Source organism: Homo sapiens, chromosome 20 (assembly GCF_000001405.40).
Source record: "Homo sapiens chromosome 20, GRCh38.p14 Primary Assembly".
Classification (NCBI taxonomy): domain Eukaryota; kingdom Metazoa; phylum Chordata; class Mammalia; order Primates; family Hominidae; genus Homo; species Homo sapiens.
The window spans coordinates 2,870,804-2,895,553 of record NC_000020.11 but is presented as its reverse complement, the minus strand read 5'-3'; the positions used below and the strand labels follow the sequence as shown (position 1 = coordinate 2,895,553).

Sequence of the window (24,750 nt, the reverse complement as noted above, 5' to 3'; positions counted from 1 at the left end):
CAGAGCAACACTCTGTCTCAAAAAAAATAAAATAAAATAAAATACAGTTATCAATACTACAGTTGTCATGACAATCTTAAAATGAGGAAAATCAATCCCTGATCTGGAAGAGTTCAGGAGCCTTCAGCAATTACGTGATATTTCAGCTGGGTCTAAAAGAATATGTAGTAGGCTGGGTGTGGTGGCTCACACCTGTAATCCCAGCACTTATGCACTTTGGGAGGCTGAGGTGGGTGGATCACTTGAGGTCAGGAGTTCTAGACCAGCCTGGCCAATATGGTGAAGCCCCATCTCTACCAAAAATACAAAAATTAGCTGGGTGTGGTGACGCATGCCTGTAGTCCCAACTACTCAGGAGGCTGAGGCACGAGAATCACTTGAACCTGGGAGGCAGAGGTTGCAGTGAGCCAAGATTATACCACTGCACTCCAGCCTGCTGACAGATCAAGACTCTGTCTAAAATAAATAAATAAATAAATAACAAGTAATAGTATAGTTATTTAGGCTTTTGTTTAATGAATTCAGTTTCAAAGAGAAAGACAAACTACTTTTTTTTTTTTTTTTTGGGTGAAGGAGTCTCGCTCTGTCGCCCAGGCTGGAGTGCAGTGACGTGATCTCTGCTCACTGCAAGCTCCGCCTCCCGGGTTCACCCCATTCTCCTGTCTCAGCCTCCCGAGTAGCTGGGACTACAGGCGCCCGTCACCACGCCTGGCCAATTTATTTGTATTTTTAGTAGAGACGGGGTTTCACCGTGTTAGCCAAGATGGTCTTGATCTCCTGACCTCGTGATCCACCCGCCTCAGCCTCCCAAAGTGCTGGGATTACAGGCATGAGCCACCAGGCCTGGCTCTCAAACTAAATCTTATACGTACAATCTTTGACAGTCCTTTCACAGTTAAAGTGAAGATCACAAACTGGTAGCACAGTGGGCTAAAAAAAAAAAAATTGGCCAGCACAGTGGCTCATGCCTATAATTCTAGCACCTTGGGAGGCCAAGGCTGGAAGATCACTTGAGCCCGGGAGTTCAAGACCAGCTCAAGCAACACAGCAAGACTCCATCTCTAAAAAAACACAAAAAAACTGAAGTTGAACTCATTTAGACCAGCCTTGGAAACTCCAGTGTGGCACAGGACCCAACAGATTTACTTCTCTCATTCACACTGACTACATAGCCTTGAAAAACGTATTTGGGTTTGGAACCCCTGACTCACTTAATGCCAAAAATAAGCAGGATTATGGGGAGGAGAAGAGAAGGAAGAGGCATTTTCAAAACCTGCTGAGTTTTGAGGGCATTATAGAGGCTGAAAGTTTCTGGTTTTAATGTATTCTCCAGTTTTAAAATCGAAAAGAAAATCTGCAAAACTGGAAGACAAACACTGAACCAAACATTTCTGTATCAATAAACCTCATATAAAATTATTCTGCTGTTTGATTATATAACTATTATGTTCTATGGCAACCTACTGATGAAATACGGGAATACCAAAAATAATTAACTACTTTTTTCCATGTCATTATCTCCACCATATTAAAAAAAACTTTCTTGAAAAAGATGCTATTGTTATTTTAATTACTCACATGAGACTATTTCAAATTCTTAACTTTAGTTCTAGTAGAATGCTTATATATTTAATATCTGGTATAAATATTAATTATATAGTATAGTCTACTGTATATATATATATCAAAATCTTTGTAGGCAATATATCTGCAAGAAATAAGACACATCTAGAATAGACACACGTAATCTTCAAAAGCAGTGTGTACCATGCTTTTACATACTCTTTGGTCACTGGGTTAGAAGGTCATGTGCCAAGAAGGAAATGGTTCTGGGCTGTCCTTCAAAAGGCAGAGTGAAAGATTTCCCAAGTAACATGAAGATTTTCATGAGCCATGGATAAGCAACAATAAATAACCAGCTGACAATAAAAACAGATCCATATACCATTTTGGGGATGAAAATATAGCTAAGGATTAAATGTGATTAAATATATGATATATATGATATACCATATATACATGATGTATCATATAGCTACATAATATATTAAGTACAGCTAAGATTAAATATTTCTAATCTAAACTGTCATCTAAATGTAAGAAATCTCCAGCTGTCTTAAATGTCCAGTTGATGTGCATAACTCCATCTGCCAGCTATGCTATCTGAGGGACACATGGTATTCTTGCTGGAGTCATGTAGTTGATTATACTTTATACTCAGGTCATGTCGTCTCATTTAAAGGGAATACCAGTTCACTCTACAAAGCTATCAACTGTAATCCATAAGTGTAAGATCTTTAGTATGGTTCTATTGGAGTAAATCTCTCATTCCTACTACAAACCAGGCACTGCATTAGCAGCTGGAGATATAAAACTGCAAAACAAACAAGTCCCATAAATCCCTGCCCTCAAAGAGCACCCAGTTTAATTGAGAAACAAACTAATACAACTTTGACATTCAAAGAAATGTTCACAAAAACCAAACCTTTCAAGAGCCGTTGGATACCATTATGATTTATTATACAGAATACAATTAAGACAGAATTGACAGTGAAATTCCTTCAAATCTTCATAAATGTATAAAAACAGAATTAATGCTGGCTTCCTTCTGAATACCATTTTTCACACAGAAAGTCTTAATCCCTTCAGGAGAGCTGTGGCCTATCTAAAGCAGAAAATAAAGACAGAATTAGATGCTAAGTGAGGCTTGGCTCACTGAACAGCTAAACCGAACTTAGTTCTGCTGCCACTAAACTCAACTGGGTAAATAAAGATGCTCCTTGCCCTACAATGGGGCTATATTCCAATATACCCACCATAAACTGAAAATATCGTTTAAGTAGGAAATGCATTTAACACACTTTACCTACCGAATGCCATAGTTAGCCTAGCCTACCTTAAATGTGTTCAGAACACTCACATTAGCATACAGTTGAGCAGAATCACCTGGCAACACAGTACACCATGGAGTATACTCATTTACCCTCCTGATCACATGGCTGACTGGGAGGTGTGGGTCAATGCTTCTGCCCAGCACCATGAGAAATTGTCACACTGCATATCACTAGCCTGGGAAAAGATCAAATTTCAAAATTGGAAGTACAATTTCTACTGAATACGTATATCACACCAGCTTTCCCACCATCATAGTATAAAAATCATAAGTTGAACCATCATAAATCAGGGACCATCTATAATGTGAATCCATGCTTCAGTAAATTACATACAGTTGGCCCTCTCTTCTTTTTTTTTTTTTTTTTTTTTGAGACAGAGTCTCATTCTGTTGCCCAGGCTGGAGTGCTATGGCAGGATCTTGGCTCACTGCAACCTTCAACTCCCAGGTTCAAGCAATTGTCCTGCCTCAGCCTCCAGAGTAGCTAGGATTACAGGCACCTGCCACCATGCCTGGCTAATTTTTGTATTTTTAGTAGAGACACGGTTTCACCATATTGGCCAGGCTGGTCTCGAGCTCCTAACCTCAGGCAATCCTCCCACCCCAGCCTCCCAAAGTGCTGGGATTACGGGTGTGAGCCACCGCGCCCGGCCCAGTTGACCCTCTCTATCTGTGGGTTGCACATCCACAGATCAAAAAAATAAACAAATAAAACCATAAAATAAGAAACAAACTTAAAAATACAGTATAACAGCTATTTACATAGTATTTGCATTGTTTTAGCCATATAGGTAATCTGGAGATTATTTAGGGCCTATAAAGTACACAGGAGGATGTGCATAGGTTACATGCAAATATGCCATTTTATATAAGGCACCTGAGTATCCCTGGATTTTGATCTCCATGGGGGGGATCCTGGAATCAATCACCTGAAGATACTAAGAGACAACTGCATTACTATACCTTTTGGACTATCAGGATCCTTCTGAGACTATAAATGTTTAATCTACACATGCCAATGTGTGAATTATCATATAAGTGTATGAATTATCATACAATAAGTGACTTGACAGATATAAGCACAGAATCTACACTGGGTCAGACTTGGAGTAGTCAGTAAGGAAATGCTGACTGGAGGAGCTGATCTCTATCTGATAAATTATAATGTCAAGTAAGAAGGAGGGAGGTGGGCAGTCCAACCAAAGACAGAGAGCAAGAAAGAGCACAGCACCACCAAGGATCAAGCGGCAGTGGGCTCAGAGAAAAGATAAGGCTACCAACGTTAAGAGGAGTTGGATCATGAGGGCCTGCTCTGTTAAGGAGTTTGGATTTTATTCACAGAATCTAAAGTTGGGAAGTTAAAGAGATCACTTTTGGCAGCCATCTAATCAATGACTTGGAATGAGAAACTAATAATGAGTAGACAACAAGGGAACCTGCAGCAGTCATCTAGGTGAGAAGCAGCCTGAATTAAGGGATAGGAGAAATGGTGGAAAATAGGCAAATTTGAGAAATGTTACAGATGTAAAACAGTTAGGAACAGATCACCAACCAGATGAACAACATTCAAGTTTCCAGTTTGGGTCACTGTGTTGTGCCATTCATCAAGATAGAGATTATAAAAATAACACGCTGAAAAGGAAGATGAGTCAGTTCTGAGACTGTTATAGGTACCTGGGAGATAGCCCAATGGAGACCAGTAGGCTGTTGGCTGTAATCCAGATGGGTTCTGAGGACAAAGTTTCTCCTAATTAGCAAGGAAGCTGAAACCATGGACATGTGCTTCCAGGAAGAACGTGTAGAATCAACACAAGAAGGCCAGAGATGGAATCTTTGGTAACTCAAACAAGGAGTGGTCAAAGAAGAGGGGCCTAGGGAACTGAGGAGTGGCCACAAAGATAGAAAGAGGAAAACAAGGAGAATGTGTCACATAACTCAGGGAAAGATAGTTCAGGGAATAAAGACTGTAAAGTTGATCACATTTACTCAGCTTTTTTCTCTCTTCCCTCTCCCATCCTTTACACACTCTCCCCTGTTAAAATCAGAAAGGTAAAAAGTTATTCTGTGATAATTCAAATAATGCTACACTGTGCCCCAAATCAACTACTAGGGAGGGAAGACAGAGAATCAAGATCATTATATTTTCTAACATTTATTAAAGATTTACTATGTGCTAAGAACTGTGCTAAGCATTTACCACGCACTATCTAATGCTTAAAACAAACAAATACATAGAGTACTACAGCTGAACCCATTTACTAGGTGACAAAAGTGAGTCTCAGAAGAGCTAACTATTTTGCCCAAGTTCACAAAAAGCATGGCAGGCATGGAATATGAACCCTAGTCTATCCAACACCCAAAATTAAAATAACTGTAGGGCCTGACAAGGAATATATAAAAGAAACACAAAATCCAATTTGACCAGGAAAAAAAAAATTGATTGAAGGGTTATTTTTGAAGAAAAGGCCAGGCATGGTGGCTTATGCCTGTAATCCCAGCACTTGGGCAGGCTGAGGCGGGAGGACTGTTTGAGGCCAGGAATTTGAGATCATCCTAGGCTCATAGTGAGGCCTCATCTCTACAAAAAAAAAAAAAAAATCAAAAAATTAGCTGGGCATGATGACGTACATCTGTGGTCCCAGCTACTTACTCAGGAGGCTGAGGCGGGAGGATCACTTGAGCCCAGGAGGTCAAGGCTGCAGTGAGCCATGATTGCACCACTGCACACCAGCATGGGCAACCTACCAAGATCCTGTCTCAAAAAAAGGTATGGGGGGTTGCAAAACAAACTCTGAACATGGATTCCCCCTTTGATGCCACATTCAGGACTCTTAACATAAGGAAAGGCACAGCATCTCTTGAGTAGAATTATCCTGGAAACACAGACCCCTTAGTTCCCTTTCCCAGTCTCAAATCTCTGACCAATAATAACTGTATCATGATTCTGTATTTTTAATCTGATAACCATGGCTTTCTGAGATGATAAAACTGTCCTCCTTAATTGGGTAAGTGGCATCACAATCCCAGAAAGAAAAGACATGAGCAATAAAATGAGGTATGGTATATCAAACTCATGGTACTAGTAGTACTTTTGCGTTAAGTTTAGGGTATGTGTTTTTTAAATGTTGGTAATTCAGATTCAGCTAATGAAAAGCACTGGAAGTCTTAACCAAAACCTGTTTTACTACATTTACAAATTTAATTTCTTAGTATCACAGATTGCCCAAGAGCTTAAGAAGTTTCTGTTTAAGGTGGTAACTCTGACCTGTCAAGGACTGACTGTGCCTGACAGACTGACTGTGTAAATGTATTTTAAACATCTAAGGAAATTTAATTCACTAAGTAAGGGGCCTGGAGCAATTAAATCTGTTAAATTTATATTAACTTAATTGACAAGCAGGTGAAAATTACTATTCTTATTTCTATACAAAATGCCTATGCTTACAAGTACAATAACAAGACTAAAAGAAAACTGGGTTTTAAATTTACCACTTTAATACATGTTAATTTAAAGCCCAAATAATTTTAAAATAGTCCTTCTGTATACAAAAGCCCTTTTCCCACATCAAAAAACTTACACATGTAACTGAGCTGCTCTATTAACCACTACTTGCTCAACAAAAGCCCTCTTCAAAGTAGAACCTTTGAAAACTTACCAAGTACAACTGGATAAGTATGGATGGTTTAAGTAATCTCTCCCACTAACATTGGGGAAACCGAATTGAGCTCCACTTAAGATCCCACCCAAAGGTAAGAACATCTCATCTCAATCTGCTATAACATTCACCCCTTTTGATAAACATAAAACTCTCCTATCTTCCCTTATTGTTACTTGAAATACCAAACTTAAGTAACTTACATTTTATGAGCATGTAGTATTTCAGCATGGTTTCACAAGTATTGCTCATAGTACTTGTGGATGCCTATGGAAAGGGAAAGCTGAAAGGCAGGGGGAGAGAAAACTACCTTTTACTATATATACTATATATACTTTTAGAACTATTAACATGGACACATATTATTCAAATATATACATAATTTTAAATTAAGCAAAATTTTGAGACAAACACTAACAAACCTTTTTTTTTTTTAAATGCTTTTTCTTTTTGAGACAGGGGTCTCACTCTGCTGCCCAGGCTGGAGTGCTGTGGTATGTTCACTGCAGCCTTGATCTCCTGGGCTTAAGCAATCCTCCCACCTCAGCCTCCCAAGTAGCTAGGACTATGGGTGCATGCCATTACACCTGGCTAGCTTTTATTTTTCTGTAGAAGCAGGGTCTCACTATGTTGCCCAGGCTGGTCTCGAACTCCTGGGCTCAAGTGATCCTCCCATGTTGGCCTCCGAAAGTGCTAGGATTACAGGTGTGAGCCACCACACCTAGCCTGAAAATGCATTTTCAAACTTACGTCTTCCCCACCATGTCAGTCATATTGAGAATCACTGATTTAGGGGTTCACAACTGCTGCTGATGGCACTACTGCTCACTGGGCATGAAATACAGGAAGAAAAGGGGTTTTCTTTGTCTTCCACCAGCTGGTAGCAAGAACCTAGCCCAGGTATAGTCTCCCTGAGCTTCTTCTATTTCTCATCCGTGTTTGAGGGCTTTGAGGGACCATTCTAGCTAACACCCCAAACTGGGGAGAGAGAAATACTGGCTGGAAATCACTGTGAAATCTGTCCCTGTTAACAAAGTGGGCAGGCCCAAGAGGTAAGAGGCACTGGAAGGCAGTGATCTCACAGACAGCGTGAGCAGAGGCACTGAGTCAGGGACATTCACATCACTGGGGACATGGGAACCAGGAGAGCAGAAGTATCCCCGTAAAAGCTTGGGCCTCCAGTTCCTTTTAGACAGTGAAAGTCCTGGAACTATCCCACACTGCTCTGGTAACAGTGCTGCTAACATTATCAAAGGAAGACATTCTCTTTACTAATGGTAGTATCAATGCATTTACAATATTGTAATAAGCCACTTGTCAACCAATATTTGAAAATTAGTTGCTCGTTAAGCTATTTGTCAATCAATATTTAAGAACTACTTGCACAATTCACAGGGGCCAGGTTTCAACTTCTTCCCACACACAAAAGCTCAGTTCATTAACTAGCAATCATCTCTTCCAAAAAGCCAGAAATCTAGAACCCTAATGCCTCTACTGCTTAAATCATACTTGTCCATGTATCTCCATCCCTATCACCACTCCTCCCACCCTAAGCCAATCCAGAACACCATCATCACTGGCCACATTTGCTCTAATAAACATCAAATAAGTCTCTATACCCTGCCCAGTCCGTTCTCCACAAACAAACCTTTTACTGCACATCCACCAATAAATAAGAGTATACATCCCCAACACATGTTCATTTATAAACAGAACACAGGTACTAATACCTATAAATACTACAAAACATTTCAAATGAAATACATAATGATCACAATAATGGTACTTCCATCAATTAAAATAGTAATGTAAAACCCATCTTAAAAATATTTTAGTGCAATCCATATGATTAAATATTTCTCATTATGTTTGAAAAATCTCATTTTAATATATTATAGAGCAATTTAAAAGCCTGATTCCAAGTTTTAATGCTATCATAACCAAAAAGAAACATGAATCCAAAGGAAGAAGCACTATGGCTGTGTTTACTAAACTGTGATAATCATTTTTTCACCCCCATTATACAAATATTTCCTTTTAAATATGGCTAGCAAATATCTATCTTCTGTGATATACTTTTGAAAATTAATCAAAGATACTACATTTTTTTATTTCTTTTTCTTTTTTTTCTTTTCCTTTTTTTTTTTTGAGACAGAGTTTCACTCTTGTTGCCCAGGCTGGAGTACAATGGTGCGATCTCGGCTCAGGGCAACCTCCACCTCCCAGGTTAAAGCAAGTCTCCTGCCTCAGCCTCCCGAGTAGCTGGGATTACAGGTATGCACCACCATGCCAGGCTAATTTTGTATTTTTTTTTTTTTTTTAGTAGAGACGGGGGTTTCTCCATGTTGGTCAGGCTGGTCTCGAACTCCCAACCTCAGGTGATCCGCCCGCCTCGGCCTCCCAAAGTGCTGGGATTACAGGTGTGAGTCACCGTGCCTGGCCACATTTTTCTATTTCTAACAAATGGACATGAAATCCACTAAAACTCTTCCCTTACAGTGGTTTCTCTTTTAATTTTTTACTATGGGAATTCTCAAACATATACAACAGTAGAGAAAATACTATAATAAACCCTTATATACCTATTATCCAGCTTCAATAATTATCAACGTATGGCAATTCTTGTCTCGTCTGTAATCCTCCAAACATGCTGAATTATTTTAAAGCAAATTCCAGATATCAACATCATTTCATCCAAAATACTTCAGTACCTATCTGTAAGAGAAAGGAGTCTTTCTTTTTAATGTAACCATACTACTATAATAACCTTTAAAAAATTAAAATTGTTTAAAAATCATCTAATATACAAGTGGTTTTCAAATTTAAATTACTCCCAATGGGCTCATAAATAACTTTTTACAGTTGGTTTGCATGAAACAGGATCTAAACAAGATCTATACTTATGTTCAATTAATATGTTTCATTCAAGTCTTTTTTATTTTTTCCAAGACAGAGTCTTGCTCTGTCGCCCACACTGGAGTGTGGTGGCATGATCTCACTGCAACCTCCGCCTCCTGGGTTCAAGCAATTCTCCTGCCTCAGCCTCCCGAGTAGCTGGGATTATAGGTGCGTGCCACCACGCCCAGCTAATTTTTGTATTTTTAGTAGAGACGGGGTTTCACCATGTTGGTCAGGCTGTTCTCGAACTCCTGACCTCATGATCCACCCACCTTGGCCTCCCAAAGTGCTGGGATTACAGGCGTGGGCCACCACGCCCAGCCTCAAGTCTTTTTTAATCTGTAGCAGTTCGTGTACTTTTTTTTTCTTGCCATTCATTTGAAGTAAATGGGTTCATTTGTCCTATAATATTTTTCACATTCTAAATTTGCCAATTATATCCTATAAACCAGTAATCAGATCTACACTAATCAGAGGAAGGTTTGACTCTGTTTGTTGGGGCAAGCAAGACTATTTCATGAATGATATGTTCTTCCTAGTATCACATAGAAAGAATATAAGATTTGGTTGTCCCAATTTTAGAGATGTTATGATTGATCAGAAGATTGTCACACTGATCCCTTTATTATAAAGTTCCCTAATGGTTTTAACAGCCACTGGTGACCAATGCCTAGATTCTTTACTTCATTAGATCATCTGGAAATGTTTTTAGAAACACATTTGGAGATTTTTATTAGGTTACAAAATTGTTTCTAAGGTTTTCATGTGTCAAATTATGAGAATTTTATAGATGCAACAAAATCACAGTCAGATCATGAGTCATTAAGGAAATGCAAATTAAAACATAATGCAATACCACTTTACACCTACTAGGATGGCTACAGTTAAAAAAAACAACAAGTGTTGACAAGGATATGGAGAAACTGATACACTCATACACTGCTGCTGGGATTGTAAAAAGGTGCAGGCGTTCTTTCTGTTCCTCAACAAAGTCAGTGGTTCCTCAAACCGGGCGCAGTGGCTTGTGCCTGTAATCCCAGCACTTTGGGAGGCCGAGGCGGGCGGATCACGAGGTCGAGACCATCCTGGCTAACACTGTGAAATCCCATCTCTACTAAAAATACAAAAAATTAGCTGGATGTGGTGGGGGGCGCCTGTAGTCCCAGCTACTCGGGAGGCTGAGGCAGGAGAATGGCATGAACCTGGGAGGCAGAGCTTGCAGTGAGCCAAAATCGTGTCACTGCACTCCAGCCTGGGCGACAGAGCGAGACTCCGTCTCAAAAAAAAAAAAAAACAAAAAAAACAAAAAAAACCAGAGAGTTACCATTTGACTCAGCAGTTCCACTCCTAGATCTACCCAAAAGGATATGTCCACGCAAACAGCTGAACACACAACCCACAGATGGGAAAAAATATTTACAGATCGTATATCTGATATGGGACTTATATCTAAAAATATATAAGTAACTTAATAATAAAAAGAGCAATAACTAAATTTTAAAATGAGCCAAGTATCTGAACAGACATTTCCCCAAAGAACATACATAAACGGCCAACAGCACATGAAAAGATGCACATCATAAATCATCATGGAAATGCAAATAAAAACCACAATGAGATACAACTTCACACCCACTAAGATGGCTATAATCAAAAAGAGAGTAACAAATGTTGGCAAAGATGGGAGACATTGGGACCCCTAAGCATTGCTGGGAGAAACTGGACCCCTATTGTATTGCTGCTGGAACCTTTGTGAGTTGCTACTGGGAATGGGTAGTCACTTTACAAAACAGTTTGACAGCCCCTCAAAGTTAGTCACCGTTTAACCCAGCAATCCTACTCCTAGGTATATATATATACCCAAGAGAAATTAAAACCTATGACTACACAAAAATTTATACATGAATGTTCACAGCAGCATTATTCATAAAGCCAAAAAGTAGAAACAAATAAATGTTCATCAATTGATGAACCAGTTAGCCAAATGTCGTATATCAATATAATGGATTATTATTCAGCCATAAGAAGGAATGAAGTACTGATACATGATACAACATGAATGAACCCCAGAAACATTATGCTAAGTAAAAGAAGCCAGCTACAAAAGGTCACATATTGTATGATTTCATTTATATGAAATGTCCAGAATAGGCAAATCCAAAGAAACAGGAAGATTAGTAGTTGCCAGGGACTGGAGGGAGGAGAGAATGGGAAGTGAGGCTAATGGGTGCAGGGTCTCTTTTGGGGTGATGAAATGTTCTTAAACTAGACAGTGGCAAAAGCTGCACAACTCTATGCATATACAAAAAACCACAGAACTGTACATTTTAAAAAGGAGAATTTTATAATATGTAAGTTATAGCTTATAATGATTACATGTAAAAAAAATTCCAACGAGGAAAACGCTCTACCATTGCACATTTCTTTCTTTTTTTTTTTTTTTTTTTTTTTTTTTGAGACGGAGTCTCGCTCTGTCGCCCAGGCTGGAGTGCAGTGGCGCGATCTCGGCTCACTGCAAGCTCCGCCTCCCGGGTTCACGCCATTCTCCTGCCTCAGCCTCCCGAGTAGCTGGGACTACAGGCGCCCGCCACCACGCCCGGCTAATTTTTTGTATTTTTAGTGGAGACGGGGTTTCACCGTGTTAGCCAGGATGGTCTCGATCTCCTGACCTCGTGATCCGCCCGCCTCGGCCTCCCAAAGTGCTGGGATTACAGGCGTGAGCCACCGCGCCCGGCCTGCACATTTCTTTCTAAGAAAAGAAGTAGTTCCTTTTTCACTCACTATTTAAATAATACTTTTACTTGAAGAGACAGATTAAGATATTATTTTTTCAAATGATATTTGCTAGGTTCAGGTTGAGTATTCCTTATCTGAAATGCTTGGGACCAGAAGTGTTTCAGATTTAGGTATTTTTCAGATTTTGTACTATTTGCATTATTCCTACTGGTTGCAAAATTAGCTGGGCATGGTGGTGCATGCCTGTAGTCCCAGCTACTCAGGAGGCTGAGGTGGGAGGATCACCCGAGCCCAGGAGGTCAAGGCTGCAATGAGCCATGATCATGCCACTGCGCTCCAGCCTGGGCTACATACAGAGTGAGAACCTGTCTCAAAAAAAAAAAAAAAAAAAAAAAGTGTTGGATTTGGAAGCCTTTTGGATTTCATATTAGGATTACTCAAACTGTAGCCACTTACCATAACAAAAAGTTGGCATTTTTTTAAAAAAGAAAAATGCAAAACTCATCAACAACTCTACCACAAGATAATTAACAAATAAGTGGACTCAACAGCCTGCCCATAGAGAAGTAATGAATGAATTTCATTCTTTTGTTCAGTCAAAGCAGCTGTTCCATTAATTTACATTCAGTCTATTATTCCATATAGTAATGTTCTTATGAAGGCAATCATTTACTATTAAAAATATGTCTTCTCCAGTACAACTTTCTTCCAGTAGCTCACAAAAGAAGTGGTCCTTATTCTTGGATGTAACTATTAAAAGGTAATCTAGGCCTGGCACAGTTGGCACGGTGGCTCATGCCTGTAATCCCAGCACTTTGGAAGGTCTTTTGGCAGGTGGATTGCTTGAGCCAGGAGTTCAAGGCCAGCCTGGGAAACATAGTGAGACCTCATCTCTCCTAAAAATAAAAAATAAAAAAAATAGGTATGGTGGTGCATGCCTGTGGTCCTGGCTACTTGAGAGGCTGAGGTAGGATGATCACTTGAGACTGGGAGGTCAATGCTGCAGTGAACCATGATGGTGCCACTGCACTCCAGCCTGGGTGACAGAACAAAACTGTCTCAAAAAAAAAAAAAGAAAGAAAGAAAGAAAAGAAAAAAAAGAGTATCTAGCGATACTGAGACATGCTAGAAGCTTCTGTACTTTTATAACCGTATACCAAACTTCCCACACTGCAAAATTTGTTCTAATATTGTTTGTTCACATATTCAGCAATGTTTTCTATACATCTTCCAACAGTATTTTGATTTCCTGACAAAATTATTTTCCATGTAGTACATCAGTCCATTTTTTGTTTAAGTGGGCCTTTTGGGGGTGGGGCAGGAAGAATCTGCCAAGGGTATGTGTTTTTTTGTCTTTTTTCTTTTTTTCCCCTGAAACAGTCTCGCTCTGTCTCCCAGGCTGGAGTACAGCGGCGCAACCTCAGCTCACTGCAATCTCCGCCTCCCAGGTTCAAGCGATTCTCCTGCCTCAGCCTCCCGAGTAGCTGGGACTACAGGTGTGCCCACCATACCTGGCTAATTTCTGTGTTTTTAGTAGAGACAGGGTTTTGCCATGTTGGCCAGGCTGGTTTCAAACTCCTGACCTCAAGTGATCCGTCCACTTCGGCCTCCCAAAGTGCTGGGATTACATGCATGAGCCACTGCACCCGGCCCCATTTTGTCTTTTATAAGAACAATAAACTTAAAAACTGGCCAGGCATGGTGGTTCACATGTGTAGTCCCAGAGCTTTGGAAGGCCAAGGTGGGAAGATCGCTTGAGCCCAGGAGTTCAATGCTGCAGTGAGCTATCATTGTGCCACTGTACTCCAGCCTGGGCAACAGAGTGAGACCCTGTCTCTTAAAAGCAAAAAACCCTCAAAATATAAATTTTAATAATTGAAGTTAGCAAAATTTTGTAAAGCATCTGATGGAATATCCTTTATCTTTAAACATCACTGCAAAAAAAATGTAGAGGTTCTTTTTATGTTCCAAATTTTTGGTTTTCAAATGTCTTCATACTGGTGACAGCCTCATATTTTATTATTTAATATCTCAAGGTTTTACATACTTTTTTTTTTTTGGAGACAGAGTCTTGCTCTGTCACCCAGGCTTGAGTGCAGTGGCGAGATCTCGGCTCACTGCAAACTCCGCCTCCTGGGCTCAGAGGATTCTCCTGCCTCAGCCTCCCGAGTAGCTGAAATTACCCAGAGGCACACGCCACCACGCCCGGCGAATTCTTGTATTTTTAGTAGAGATGGGGTTTCACTGTGTTGGCCAGGATGGTCTCGATCTCTTGACCTTGTGATCCACCCACCCTGACCTCCCAAAGTGCTGGGATTACAGGTGTGACCCACTATGCCCGGTCCTCCTCTTTTTTTTTTTGAGACACAGAGTCTCCCTCTGTCCCCCAGGCTGGAGTACAGTGGTGCAATCATGGCTCAATGCAGCCTTGAACTCCTGGGTTCAAGCAATCCTCTGCCTCAGCCTCCCAAGTAAGTGGGACTACAGGCACGTGACACCACACGGCTAATTTTTTATTTTTGGTAGAGATGGGGTCTCGCTATGTTGCCCAGGTTTGTCTTGAGCTCCTGGCCTCCTGCACCTCAGGCTCCCAAAACAGTGGGATTATGGGTGTGAGCCACCGTGCAGCTGGGTTCTACATACGATTAAAAGGAATCTTAAAGCAAGATTCCTATTAATGACAGAGCACGAAAGTTCATGTTTCTTATAAATTTCCTGATACTTTCCAATTTAGTAAGAGCTGACTTATTTGAATAGCTCACCAAGAATTCATCACAGGAGTTGGACAAGTGTCAGCTCTGACAACTTGTTTGCTTGTGCTTGTATTATTAGTATTTTCTTTGATCACTGGTTTCTCTGCATGTCCATTTTGTAAAGGCTAGTTCAATGAGAACTGGTTAATATAAACTGTTAACAACATGTTGCAATACATGGAGAACAAATGTATAAATATGTCTCTGCTCACTGCAGAATTCAGTCTCTTCCTTCAGGACACCCAAAGTTCTACAGTTAACACATTAACTGTTTGACCTATAGACCCAAGAAGATGCCAGAGACAATTCCTAAATTAAATGTTTTATCTTATCTTTTAGATAAAAACAATAAAAAGTTCTAAATTTTCTTCCAGTTCCCCTGGATCATCTTATCTACCTCAATTTGAAAACTACTGCTCTGGACTACAGCCACAGTGAACTTTTTAACAATTGCAAATCAGATCAGTTCACTCTCCTGCTTAAAAATCCTTCAAAGATTTAGCTCTGCCTTCAGGATAGAGTCCAAAATCCTTGCATGCCATACAGGACCCTCAACTCTGCTCCTTGCCATTCTCTAGTCTCAACACTGTCCTTAGTCTCTAGTTCTCAAGCCTGGCTACACATTAGAATCACCTGGGGAGTTAAAATATATATACAGGTATGCATCACTTAACAATGGAACACATTCTGAGGATGAGTCCTGATGTGATTTCATAATTCTGCAAACATCATAAAAGGTACTTACACAAAATGAGATGGTACAGCTTGCTACGTATCTAGGCTATATTGTATAGCCTACTGCTCCTAGGCTACAAACCTGTACAGCATGTTACTGTACTGAATACTGTAAGTAACTAACACAGTGAGTATTTGTGTATTTAAACATATCTAAAAATAGAAAAGGTATAGTAAAATTATGGATTATAATCTTATGGGACCACTGTGGCATATGCAGTCTCTCCTTGATGGAAACATCGTTATACTGTGCATGACTGTATACACATTCTCAGGCCCCAACTGAGACCAATTAAATTAAAATGGCTGCGGGTGGGGCATTTGCAACCCTGATTTTTCTAAGTTCCCCAGGTGAATCTAAAGTGCAGCCTAGGCAGAGAATTACTCTGTCACTGCAAGCCACCTGCCCCTTCCTGCTCACCATGGTCAGCCAGTTTTAGGTGCTCACCAAGCTCTCAATTAGGCCTTGCTACACCAAGTGTGATCCACCCACCAGCAGCATCTGCCTCACCCAGGAGCTGGTTAGTAACACAGAATCCCAAGTCCCACCCCAAACCTACTGATTCAGGACTTGGCATTTTAACAAGATTCCCAGATGGTTCATGAGCACATTCAAGTTAGCGAAGCGCTGCCCTGAGCTACCAAATCCCTTCTCAGCTCAGGGCCTTCACAAATGTTTAACTGCAAATGTTGTTTAGCTGCTGAACTTCTCTGACACTCCCGACACCCTATTCTTCCCCTTTCATCACATCTATAATTACCATAGGTGATTTTAATGTCTGTCTACTGCACTAACCTAAAAGTGTCATGAGGACAGACATCACATCTATGTTACTCTGGGGTGTCCCCAGCTTCCGGCACAATGCCTGGTATTTCCAACTGAACAGCATCTAGCCTTATATTTTATACTGCTATGATCCTATTCTAAACTTCCACAATATTTCAATCTCATCAACCAAATCTTTCTTCAACCACAAGTTGGCTTCAGTTACATAAATCTTGGAGATAATCTATATCACAGCACTGTACTTCTTTCAAAAAATCTAAATCAGCTACTGGTCTCTTTTTCCAAAGCAATGTAAATTAAACCTAATTCAAGGTATCATTACATTTCTTTGTAATAGCACTAGATGGGTTGTCAAGAAATGGCCCCATAAATTGCTGATAGTGCTGGAAACTAGTTCAACCTTTCCAGATTGCAATTAGGCACCGAAACTGTATCCTCTGACTTGGTGAGCCCAGGTTGGGAGTAAGAGTCCAAGGAAATAATCCAAAAGAAGTATTTGAACAAGGGGTATAAAAGTACCATTTATAATAGCAAAAAGGTAGAAAAAAATAAAAGAATAAAAAGGATTGCACCAACTACAGCTGTTGGCTGAGAGTGGTGGCTCACACCTGTAATCCCAGCACTTTGGGAGGCCAAGGCGGGTGGATCACTTGAGTCCAGGAGTTCAAGACTAGCCTGGGCAACATAAAAATGTCTCTACAAAAAATAAAAAAATTAGCTGGTCGTGGTGGCACAGACCTGTGCAGTCCCAGCTATTCAGGTGGCTGAGATGGGAAGATCATTTAGCCCAGGAGGTCAAGGCTGCAGTGAGCTGTGATCATGCCACTGCACTCCAGCCAGGGTGGCAGAGTGAGACCCTGTCTCAAAAAAACAAAAACAAATTTAAAAAAAACTACAGCTGTCGATGCATGGAATACTATACTGTGATTTTTTTTTTCTTTTTTTTGAGACGGAGTCTCGCTCTGTCGCCAGGCTGGAGTACAGTGGCAAGATCTTGGCTCACTGCAACTTCCGCCTCCTGGGTTCAAGTGATTCTCATGCCTCAGCCTCCCGAGTAGCTGGGATTACAGGCACGCGCCACCACACCCAGCTAATTTTTGTATTTTTAGTAGAGATGGGGTTTCACCATGTTGGCCAGGATGGTCTTGATCTCTTGACCTCATGATCCACCTGCCTCAGCCTCCCAAAGTGCTGGGATTACAGGCGTGAGCCACCGCACCCAGCCTGTGATTTTAAATGAACAAATACTTAAATGAGTAAATATAAAATATTTTATGCTATTGAAGAATTCAAAAATCATATTCTATATGTACTGACTGCTACTATAAAAATTATGTCTTGTACACTGACACAAATGGATGTGAATTTAGAGTAAAATAAATAGTTTTACATTTAATGGATTCTCTTTTCCATAGAGAATACATTAAAATAAATTTTAATGTTGGGCTATTTTTGGGCCTGCTGTTCAGTTTTATTAAGTTAGTGTTATATTATTGCTATTTTTGTTGTACTCAGACTCACTAAAAAACCATTTCTTCACCGGGCACGGTGGCTCATGCTTGTAATCCCAGGACTTTGGGAGGCCAAGACCAGCGGATCACCTGAGGTCAGGAGTTCAAGACCAGCCTTACCAACATGGAGAAACCCCGTCTTTACTAAAAATACAAAATTAGCCAGGTACAGTGACACATGCCTGTAATCCCAGCTACTCGGGAGGCTGAGGCAGGAGAATCGCTTGAACCCAGGAGGCAAAAGTTGCGTGAGCCAAGATAGCGCCATTGCATTCCAGCCTGGGCAACAAGAGCAAAACTCCATCTCAAAAAACAAACAAACAAACAAACAAACAAAAAACATCTCTTCAGCTTTGTCATTTGGAAACATTTATTATTGCACTGGAAGTAAAATGACAAGATTCTATATTTGGCCAGTTTCCCTCTCATAACTCAAACTTCCCCTGCATCTCATTTTTTTCCATGTGAAAATGGAGAAAAATAATGCAATAATGTTTACAAACTGACACTGAGCACCTCCAATGAAAGGTGCTGGCAAATACAAACATGAGGGGTGCAAAAATACAAAACAAAACACCCACCACCACCCGCACTGATCATCCTGCACAAGTTACTTTTATCCTTCTGAGCCTCAACATCTCCCTCTGTAAATTCAAAGAAACTGGCTAGAATCGCATAGGGTGGGGGAGGATTTGTGGAGGAAAAGTAGGCATATAATAGCTGAAAAAGCATCGTAGTTGATCCTCCTGAATTCTCCAAAGATCATCTATCCAGCTATACACTTTGGGGGAGAGGATAAATTGGTACAACCCCCCAGAAACGGGTGGCAGTTTGGCTCCATGTCTGCAAATCAAAAATGCAGACATATCCCTTGACCCAGTAATTCTACTTCTAAAAGCATATTGTTCAGATAACTTTGCAAATGAGCACATAACACAGTATGTACAAGGACATTCATTGCTGTAAGAGAAGAACCTGGAAACAAATATTTAACCCAAAGATGTTACAGTACAGCCATACAACTAAATAAGTAAAAGCATGTCAACAGAAAGAACAAATAACTCTCTATATATGTTGATAATAGAATGATTTCCTAAATATGTTAAGTAAAAAAACCCAGTAAGGTGTGAGTGGTACGTCCCATGGTGGGAGGAGTATGGATAAGCAGGCACATATTTATAAAGCAACAGTGTCTATGGAAGGCCATATAAACTGAAAACTTCAGCCATCTCTGGGGAGGAGGTTAGGGAGACAGGAGACTTGGGGCCAGGGTAGGAGGGACATTTTTCTCTATATACTCTTTTGTATTGCTAGAACTTTTGAATTTTTCTCTCATCTGCATTAATTATCTTTTCCCAAAATTGAGCAGGATTCTCTCTACACCTTCCTCTGGGTCTAAGAGGCTGTGACTCTACCTCTGTCAGACCCAACCAGTGCCTCCTATATTGCAGGGGCATCTGCATTTGGCCCTATATTGCCCCCAAATGATCTTTCCAAAATTCTTTCAGCCCAAGTCCCTGACCTCCTTTAAATCCTCTAGTAGCTCTCCATTGTCCTTACCTGATCCAGCTATGATTAACCTCTTCCCTCCTCCCCAAGGACAGTGGATTCCTTCCACCACCAAGTTTGCTTGTGCTGCTCCCTCTTGCCTATGTGTGCAGTCCACCACGCGCAAACTCCTATGCATCCTTCATGATCCGAAGGCCCCCCCGTCCCAGGAAAGCTTTCCCAAATCACCCAGGCAGGGGATGCTCCCTACACAGCCTGGCAGAGGCTCTGCAAATACACGGCCAAAATTCAAATCTTGACTATTCCCTCATTTGCCCACTGTTTGGCCTCAGTTTCCAACCCTGTAGAGTAGGAATAAGCCCTTTTATGACTGTTGAAAAGACTGAGGGAATTCATGGAAAACATTACATAGCTTGTCACAAGGCAAATAAAAAATAGCTATTATTATTATCACAATCTTATAGCACCTGTGATGTATTTATATCCACCTGTCCTACATTAGACTCTGAGTTCCTCAAAGGTTAAGGACTGACTTCCTCACTTTTGTATCCCAAGCAATTCACCTGGCAAAGGGAAGACACATGAATGTACTGAAGTCAGAGGGGTGGTTTTTCTGGTTCTGTATTTCACCCAGATGTTAAGTGGCTAAACAGAGAACAGGCCCCGGGATCCCACCATGCCTTACAATGCACGGTATCAGCCAGGTCACTTTGAGCAGGCAGAGGTGAAAAGAGACTGAAGGGCTTTTAGTCTTTCAGAGACAGTTTTTTGGAGGCCAGTGGGATATGGGACCTACCAGTTCCCACCTGCTGACTGCTTATGGGGGCTGGGTGGGATGGACATGGGGAAGCCGGGAATCAGAAATACTAAAAGTCCTGGGCATGTACTCCAAGCAGGCCTTCAAAACACGAAAAAATCTCTTGGGAAGTGGATACCGGGAAATAAACAGAGCCTAGGCATAAGAGAGAAGAGATTGGAAAGAATCTACAAGACAACTTGGAGGATTCTCCCACCACGGGAGATAGAAAGGTGGGCAAGACACAGCTCCTGCCCGCAAGAAGCTTCTCAAATGAGAAGAACTTTAAAAGAAAAAGTGGAGCTTGGCAGGTAAAGGTGGGGAAGAAAGAGGATCACATAAAACAAAAACATCCCAACATGTGAGGGGGCAGTCAAGCAGCTCTGAATACTAGCCAGCAAGCGGGATGAGGGGAAGGAGAATTGGAGGATCCGATTAGGCTAAAAGTAAAGGAGTAAATTGAGGCAAGATTGTCAAGGGCTTTGTATGACCTGATAAGGCATTTTAGGCTTCATTCATCCCATGGGAAAAAGAAAAGCGAGGGAGTTTTTAAGTAAACAAGTGACAGCATCAGATCTGTTTCTGAAAGGAGTGGCCAGGCAGGAAGATGTTCGCCCTTTCCTAGTCAGTCCTCCTCTCGCCCACCATCTTCTGTTTCTCAGGCTGCCTGCACAGCTAGCAGGTGGCAAACGAAGCCATCTCCAGGGTGATGTGGACTGGTTCTAGAGCCGGAATCCCTCTCCTGAGCAAAGGCTTCTGATGGCGTTCACCCTGCAGAGGGTGGATTTGCACATTCTTCTTTTCCTGTCTTACAAATATCATCAGTGATCTCAAAAATAAAAACGAAACCCTCAAGACAGGACTCTGCTCTGCTATTTTTTTTTTTTAATCTTCAGGAGATATAATTAGTAACTAATTTTTTCAAAAAAAATTTTTTATTTACCGAAAGTAAAAAGGGAGGGGACCTGCGTTCTCAATTGGCCTATTCTGAATTCTGGGCAGCTCTCAGCCCTTATTTCCCTTCTTAAACAGCCTCAACAGTTGGGAGAGGGCGGCAAGGAGAGGGGCCTGGGAGACGGGCCGGGGGACCGAGGGAGGTGGACTTGAAGGGAAAGAAAAGTTGGTCACTGCAAAAGCAAATTTTCTCATGCCAAGAGTTTTCCTCTTTCCTCCCATTAAATGGACCTGAGCAAATTCTGTTCTCGCCGTTCTAAGTTTCTTCTCTGAGAATCAACTCTGGCAGTGCCCTGGCCTGGTCCCAGAAGGACGCATGCAAAGTTCCTGGGCAGTCGCGAGGGGTCGGCACTCGGGCCGGCACGTTTCCGGGGACCCCCTCCCCGCGACGGACCCGCAAGGATGCACAATCAACCTGCAGGCGCCCGCAGGCTTCTACCCGGAAAAGATGGCTTAGGGCTTCGGGCTCCGGGCTCTGGGCTGTGGCCCGGGACCCCTCCCACCGCCCCCGGGAGCCGCTCCCCCTTCCGGAGCCCACCCGGGCGCAGCGGCCGCGAACACTCACAGAGTCGGGCGTTGGGCGGGACCGCTGGGGACGAGGACAGCGGCTCCGCCTCGGCTCCGCGGCGGCGTTTCGGGCCGCCACTAGCCCTCAGGGCCGCCGCCCGGCCCGCGGCTCCGAGCCCCGCGGCGGCGGCGGCGGCCTCGCCTCCATGGCGAGGGGAAGCGGCTGAGGGGCGACTGGGCGGGCGACAGTGATGGCGGCAGCGGCCGGGGTCCGAGCGCGATCGCGCGCGCGCGCGTCTCTGTCAGCGCCGCACTCGCCGCAGCCTCGCTCCCGACCCGGCCTTGGCTGTAAGACGCGTGTTCATTGGCTGTTCAGAGACAGGCGCTGGTTGGCCGACAGCGAACGGGCGTCTCCGGCCCGCGCGGGCCCCGCCCTTGCGCTCCGCTGGGCGCTCACTTGCCGGCTGGGGCGCCGAACCCGGTCGCACGTTCTCCTGGTAGCTCCAGAGGGGTTCGCCCCGGGGCTGCCCAGTCCTTCGGGAAGCTGGACCCCGGAAGGACCGGCTGCGAGTGCACCAGTGCCTTCAGCCATTCTACAGTCACAGGCCTCATGACTTGGGCCTTCTTCCCAGTTTACAGATCAGGAAACCGAGGCCAGGCACAAACTACACCAATGTCTAGCCACCAGGGCGGCCTGCAACTCGAGAGCCATCTTCCTAACCCTCTCCAAACGTGATACTGTGGGTCTTTTTTTTCCCTCCCCTAATTGCTGCAAAGAACGACGGATCTCACTGGGGAGGGAGAGGAACCTGCCAAGTCCCTAGAACGGATCTGGCTCCGTGGGTGTCGTCTTATATCAAGTCAGCCCACGCCGTCCCCACCCGAGCTCCAGGGTAATCTCCCCCGCTTTCCAGATGCGCATGCTGGGGCCCCGCTCGCCACCGAGCTGAGTAGAAGCACAACACATGGTGCTCTGCGATGGAGGTGCCTTTTGCGATACGCCTGGCGGGGGAGGGGAGGCTCAAAACGCAGAGAGGAGCCAGAGTGCGCCCTCCCCCGGCCGGGGTTGGGGCGCGTACCCCCTTCCCGGCGCTCCCGGCACGGCGTCTGGTGCGTGACACCCGCGAAGCAATCGCTCAGTCCATCCAGCGGCAGCAGGTTCCTACACGGATCCCCGCGGGTGCTGCAGGACCTGAGCGTCTGCGGCTGAAAGCCGATTACGCAGTCGAGATAGGTGGTGGCAAATGCGACATTTCGCCGGGTTGTGATCCCCAGTAGGGACCCCTGGACATTCCGAGACCCGCGCAGGGCGAGCGGCTGGGCGTCTGCAGGCAAAAGACAGATTGCACAGTAGCGCACAAACCGAGCTTGCGGGTAGGGGACGCTTTATCCCAGACCCAGAGTCTGCGGTTCCCGGGGTAGGTGGCGGCGAGTCTCTCCTCCAGACCGGGCAACCCCTGAGTCCCCCTCACGCACCCCAGGCCGGAAGGAGTCCCACATTCGGGGCGCCCCCGGGGAAGGGTTGTGACCGGCGGCAACTCTTCATGGCAGGAAACACTGCGGCGCAAAAGGGGCTCCCAGCAGCCCCCACCATCTCCAGTCCTACCATCTCCGGTCCCCACCACCGCCTTCTGTTGGGGCGCCAGTTAGGGACTCTGTGCCCCACTCCTCCGTATTGTGGGCTCACATCAGCAGCCCCTACCATCTCCAGTCCTACCATCTCCGGTCCCCACCACCGCCTTCTGTTGGGGCGCCAGTTAGGGACTCTGTGCCCCACTCCTCCGTATTGTGGAATAAGTTAGTCCATGCTAACCAGAGCCAGGGCCTGGGAATATGGGTGGGGCGGGCCTCAGGCCGTCCCCTCCCCAGCAGGGAAGTCTCTCCTTGAGTGGGAGTTGTGACTCTCTCTCCCTCTCAGCAGGGCCAGCCTAGAGGTGAGGGTGAAATGGCCGAACCCGACACCTCTGACCAATAGACACTCCAGCCCAAAGGCCCAGAGTCCACACGCCTACTCTCCTAACGCTCAGACCCCAGTGAGGGTGGATCCTTCCCCACGCCCAACATTCACATATCCCCTTAAGTCCAAACTCAATCTATCCCGCAACACCGAATGGAAAAGTGAAAAGCAGGAAGTCAAAGTGTGAAAACCCCTAACAAGTAATGACTGCAAACGCAGGAGGTACCTCAGTAGCTGGGATAGCAGCCCTATGCTCTAGAACCAAACCCCACCAGCTTACTTTTGCCTTATATCTAATTTACACTATTATTTCTTAATATGTTTCTTTTTGTTGATTAGTTTTTTTTTACTTTTTATTTGTATTACCCTAGAAGGGGTTGACATGCTACTTATATTTTTAATATAACTGAAATAGTGATTGCAGTAAGTGTTCATCTTTGAGATTATCTGAAGGACCCCTTTTGGATATGACCACACTTGGAAAAATTGTTGTTGGGCGTGGTAGTCAAAGAGCCCGGGGTTTCCAGCCCCACCATGTGCTGGGTGACCTGAGCCTCCCTCTGCAACTCTTCCTGGAACTTCCCAGGGCTGTATTGAGAATTAGGCATGTTCAGCTTGGCAAGTAACCCATTCTCAGGAAATGAAAGTTCTTTCTCTCCCCATGAGACAGCTGCACTATGGTCAAAGCATTTGTGGGGTGTGCACAGGGGTGACAGAACTACAGACCAAGGAGAACTACAGACCCTGGAGACCCTGGGAAGGAGGGTTCAGCTCAGCAACCACACAGATGCTGTTTCCATTGGAAGAAGACAGAGCCCCCTCCTCAGCTGCCTGCCTGTAGAGACCTGCCCAGCCCTCCATCCTACTTGGCTCCCAGAGTGTCCTGAGCTCCCTCGCCCATCATCATCACAGAGTAAAGGGTTATCCTGGAAGAGAAGAGAACTGAGGAAGGGAAAGGAGGCAGTTTCCTGTGCCCAAGCCTACCCAAATGGGGGACTGCAGAGCCCTCCTACTCCTAGTCCTGCATTAGTCCCAACCCACAGGAGCACATACCTACA

At 43.5% G+C, this 24,750-nt stretch overlaps 1 protein-coding gene across 28 annotated transcripts in view, besides 9 other annotated features; it reads right to left on the bottom strand.

Moving 5' to 3' along the window:
* Window positions 1-24,750, bottom strand: part of PTPRA (protein tyrosine phosphatase receptor type A) — a 174,486-nt gene that overhangs the window by 143,116 nt on the left and 6,620 nt on the right. For 26 of the 28 annotated variants that reach the window (NR_170936.1, NM_001385306.1, NM_001385320.1 and 23 more), the window contains exon 1: window positions 21,794-22,073. The exons of 1 other annotated variant lie outside the window; for it this stretch is intronic. The gene's annotated coding sequence lies outside the window, so the exon portion shown is untranslated. Of the gene's footprint in view, window positions 1-9,131; window positions 9,265-21,793; window positions 22,074-24,750 lie in introns of those variants that run through there. One more of the 28 variants, NM_001388321.1, reaches the window with a different exon arrangement.
* Window positions 13,370-13,539: an enhancer, noted in NCBI's record as "experimental_60029 CRE fragment used in MPRA reporter constructs". NCBI's record gives its function as "activates a minimal promoter by MPRAs in K562 erythroleukemia cells, with activity observed for both the introgressed and non-introgressed 20:2862746 variant alleles {active_cell/tissue: K562}" and the evidence as "EXISTENCE:reporter gene assay evidence [ECO:0000049][PMID:34662402]".
* Window positions 21,434-22,063: an enhancer, noted in NCBI's record as "H3K27ac hESC enhancer chr20:2854137-2854766 (GRCh37/hg19 assembly coordinates)". NCBI's record gives its function as "activates a minimal SCP1, AML or CMV promoter by ChIP-STARR-seq in primed H9 embryonic stem cells {active_cell/tissue: H9 hESC(primed)}" and the evidence as "EXISTENCE:reporter gene assay evidence [ECO:0000049][PMID:30033119]".
* Window positions 21,600-21,879: a silencer, noted in NCBI's record as "silent region_12611". NCBI's record gives its function as "represses an Ori minimal core promoter by ATAC-STARR-seq in GM12878 lymphoblastoid cells {active_cell/tissue: GM12878}" and the evidence as "EXISTENCE:reporter gene assay evidence [ECO:0000049][PMID:35858748]".
* Window positions 21,890-21,939: a silencer, noted in NCBI's record as "silent region_12610". NCBI's record gives its function as "represses an Ori minimal core promoter by ATAC-STARR-seq in GM12878 lymphoblastoid cells {active_cell/tissue: GM12878}" and the evidence as "EXISTENCE:reporter gene assay evidence [ECO:0000049][PMID:35858748]".
* Window positions 22,064-22,695: an enhancer, noted in NCBI's record as "H3K27ac-H3K4me1 hESC enhancer chr20:2853505-2854136 (GRCh37/hg19 assembly coordinates)". NCBI's record gives its function as "activates a minimal SCP1, AML or CMV promoter by ChIP-STARR-seq in naive H9 embryonic stem cells {active_cell/tissue: H9 hESC(naive)}" and the evidence as "EXISTENCE:reporter gene assay evidence [ECO:0000049][PMID:30033119]".
* Window positions 22,120-22,189: a silencer, noted in NCBI's record as "silent region_12609". NCBI's record gives its function as "represses an Ori minimal core promoter by ATAC-STARR-seq in GM12878 lymphoblastoid cells {active_cell/tissue: GM12878}" and the evidence as "EXISTENCE:reporter gene assay evidence [ECO:0000049][PMID:35858748]".
* Window positions 22,696-23,325: an enhancer, noted in NCBI's record as "H3K4me1 hESC enhancer chr20:2852875-2853504 (GRCh37/hg19 assembly coordinates)". NCBI's record gives its function as "activates a minimal SCP1, AML or CMV promoter by ChIP-STARR-seq in naive H9 embryonic stem cells {active_cell/tissue: H9 hESC(naive)}" and the evidence as "EXISTENCE:reporter gene assay evidence [ECO:0000049][PMID:30033119]".
* Window positions 22,810-22,949: a silencer, noted in NCBI's record as "silent region_12608". NCBI's record gives its function as "represses an Ori minimal core promoter by ATAC-STARR-seq in GM12878 lymphoblastoid cells {active_cell/tissue: GM12878}" and the evidence as "EXISTENCE:reporter gene assay evidence [ECO:0000049][PMID:35858748]".
* Window positions 23,326-23,957: an enhancer, noted in NCBI's record as "H3K4me1 hESC enhancer chr20:2852243-2852874 (GRCh37/hg19 assembly coordinates)". NCBI's record gives its function as "activates a minimal SCP1, AML or CMV promoter by ChIP-STARR-seq in naive H9 embryonic stem cells {active_cell/tissue: H9 hESC(naive)}" and the evidence as "EXISTENCE:reporter gene assay evidence [ECO:0000049][PMID:30033119]".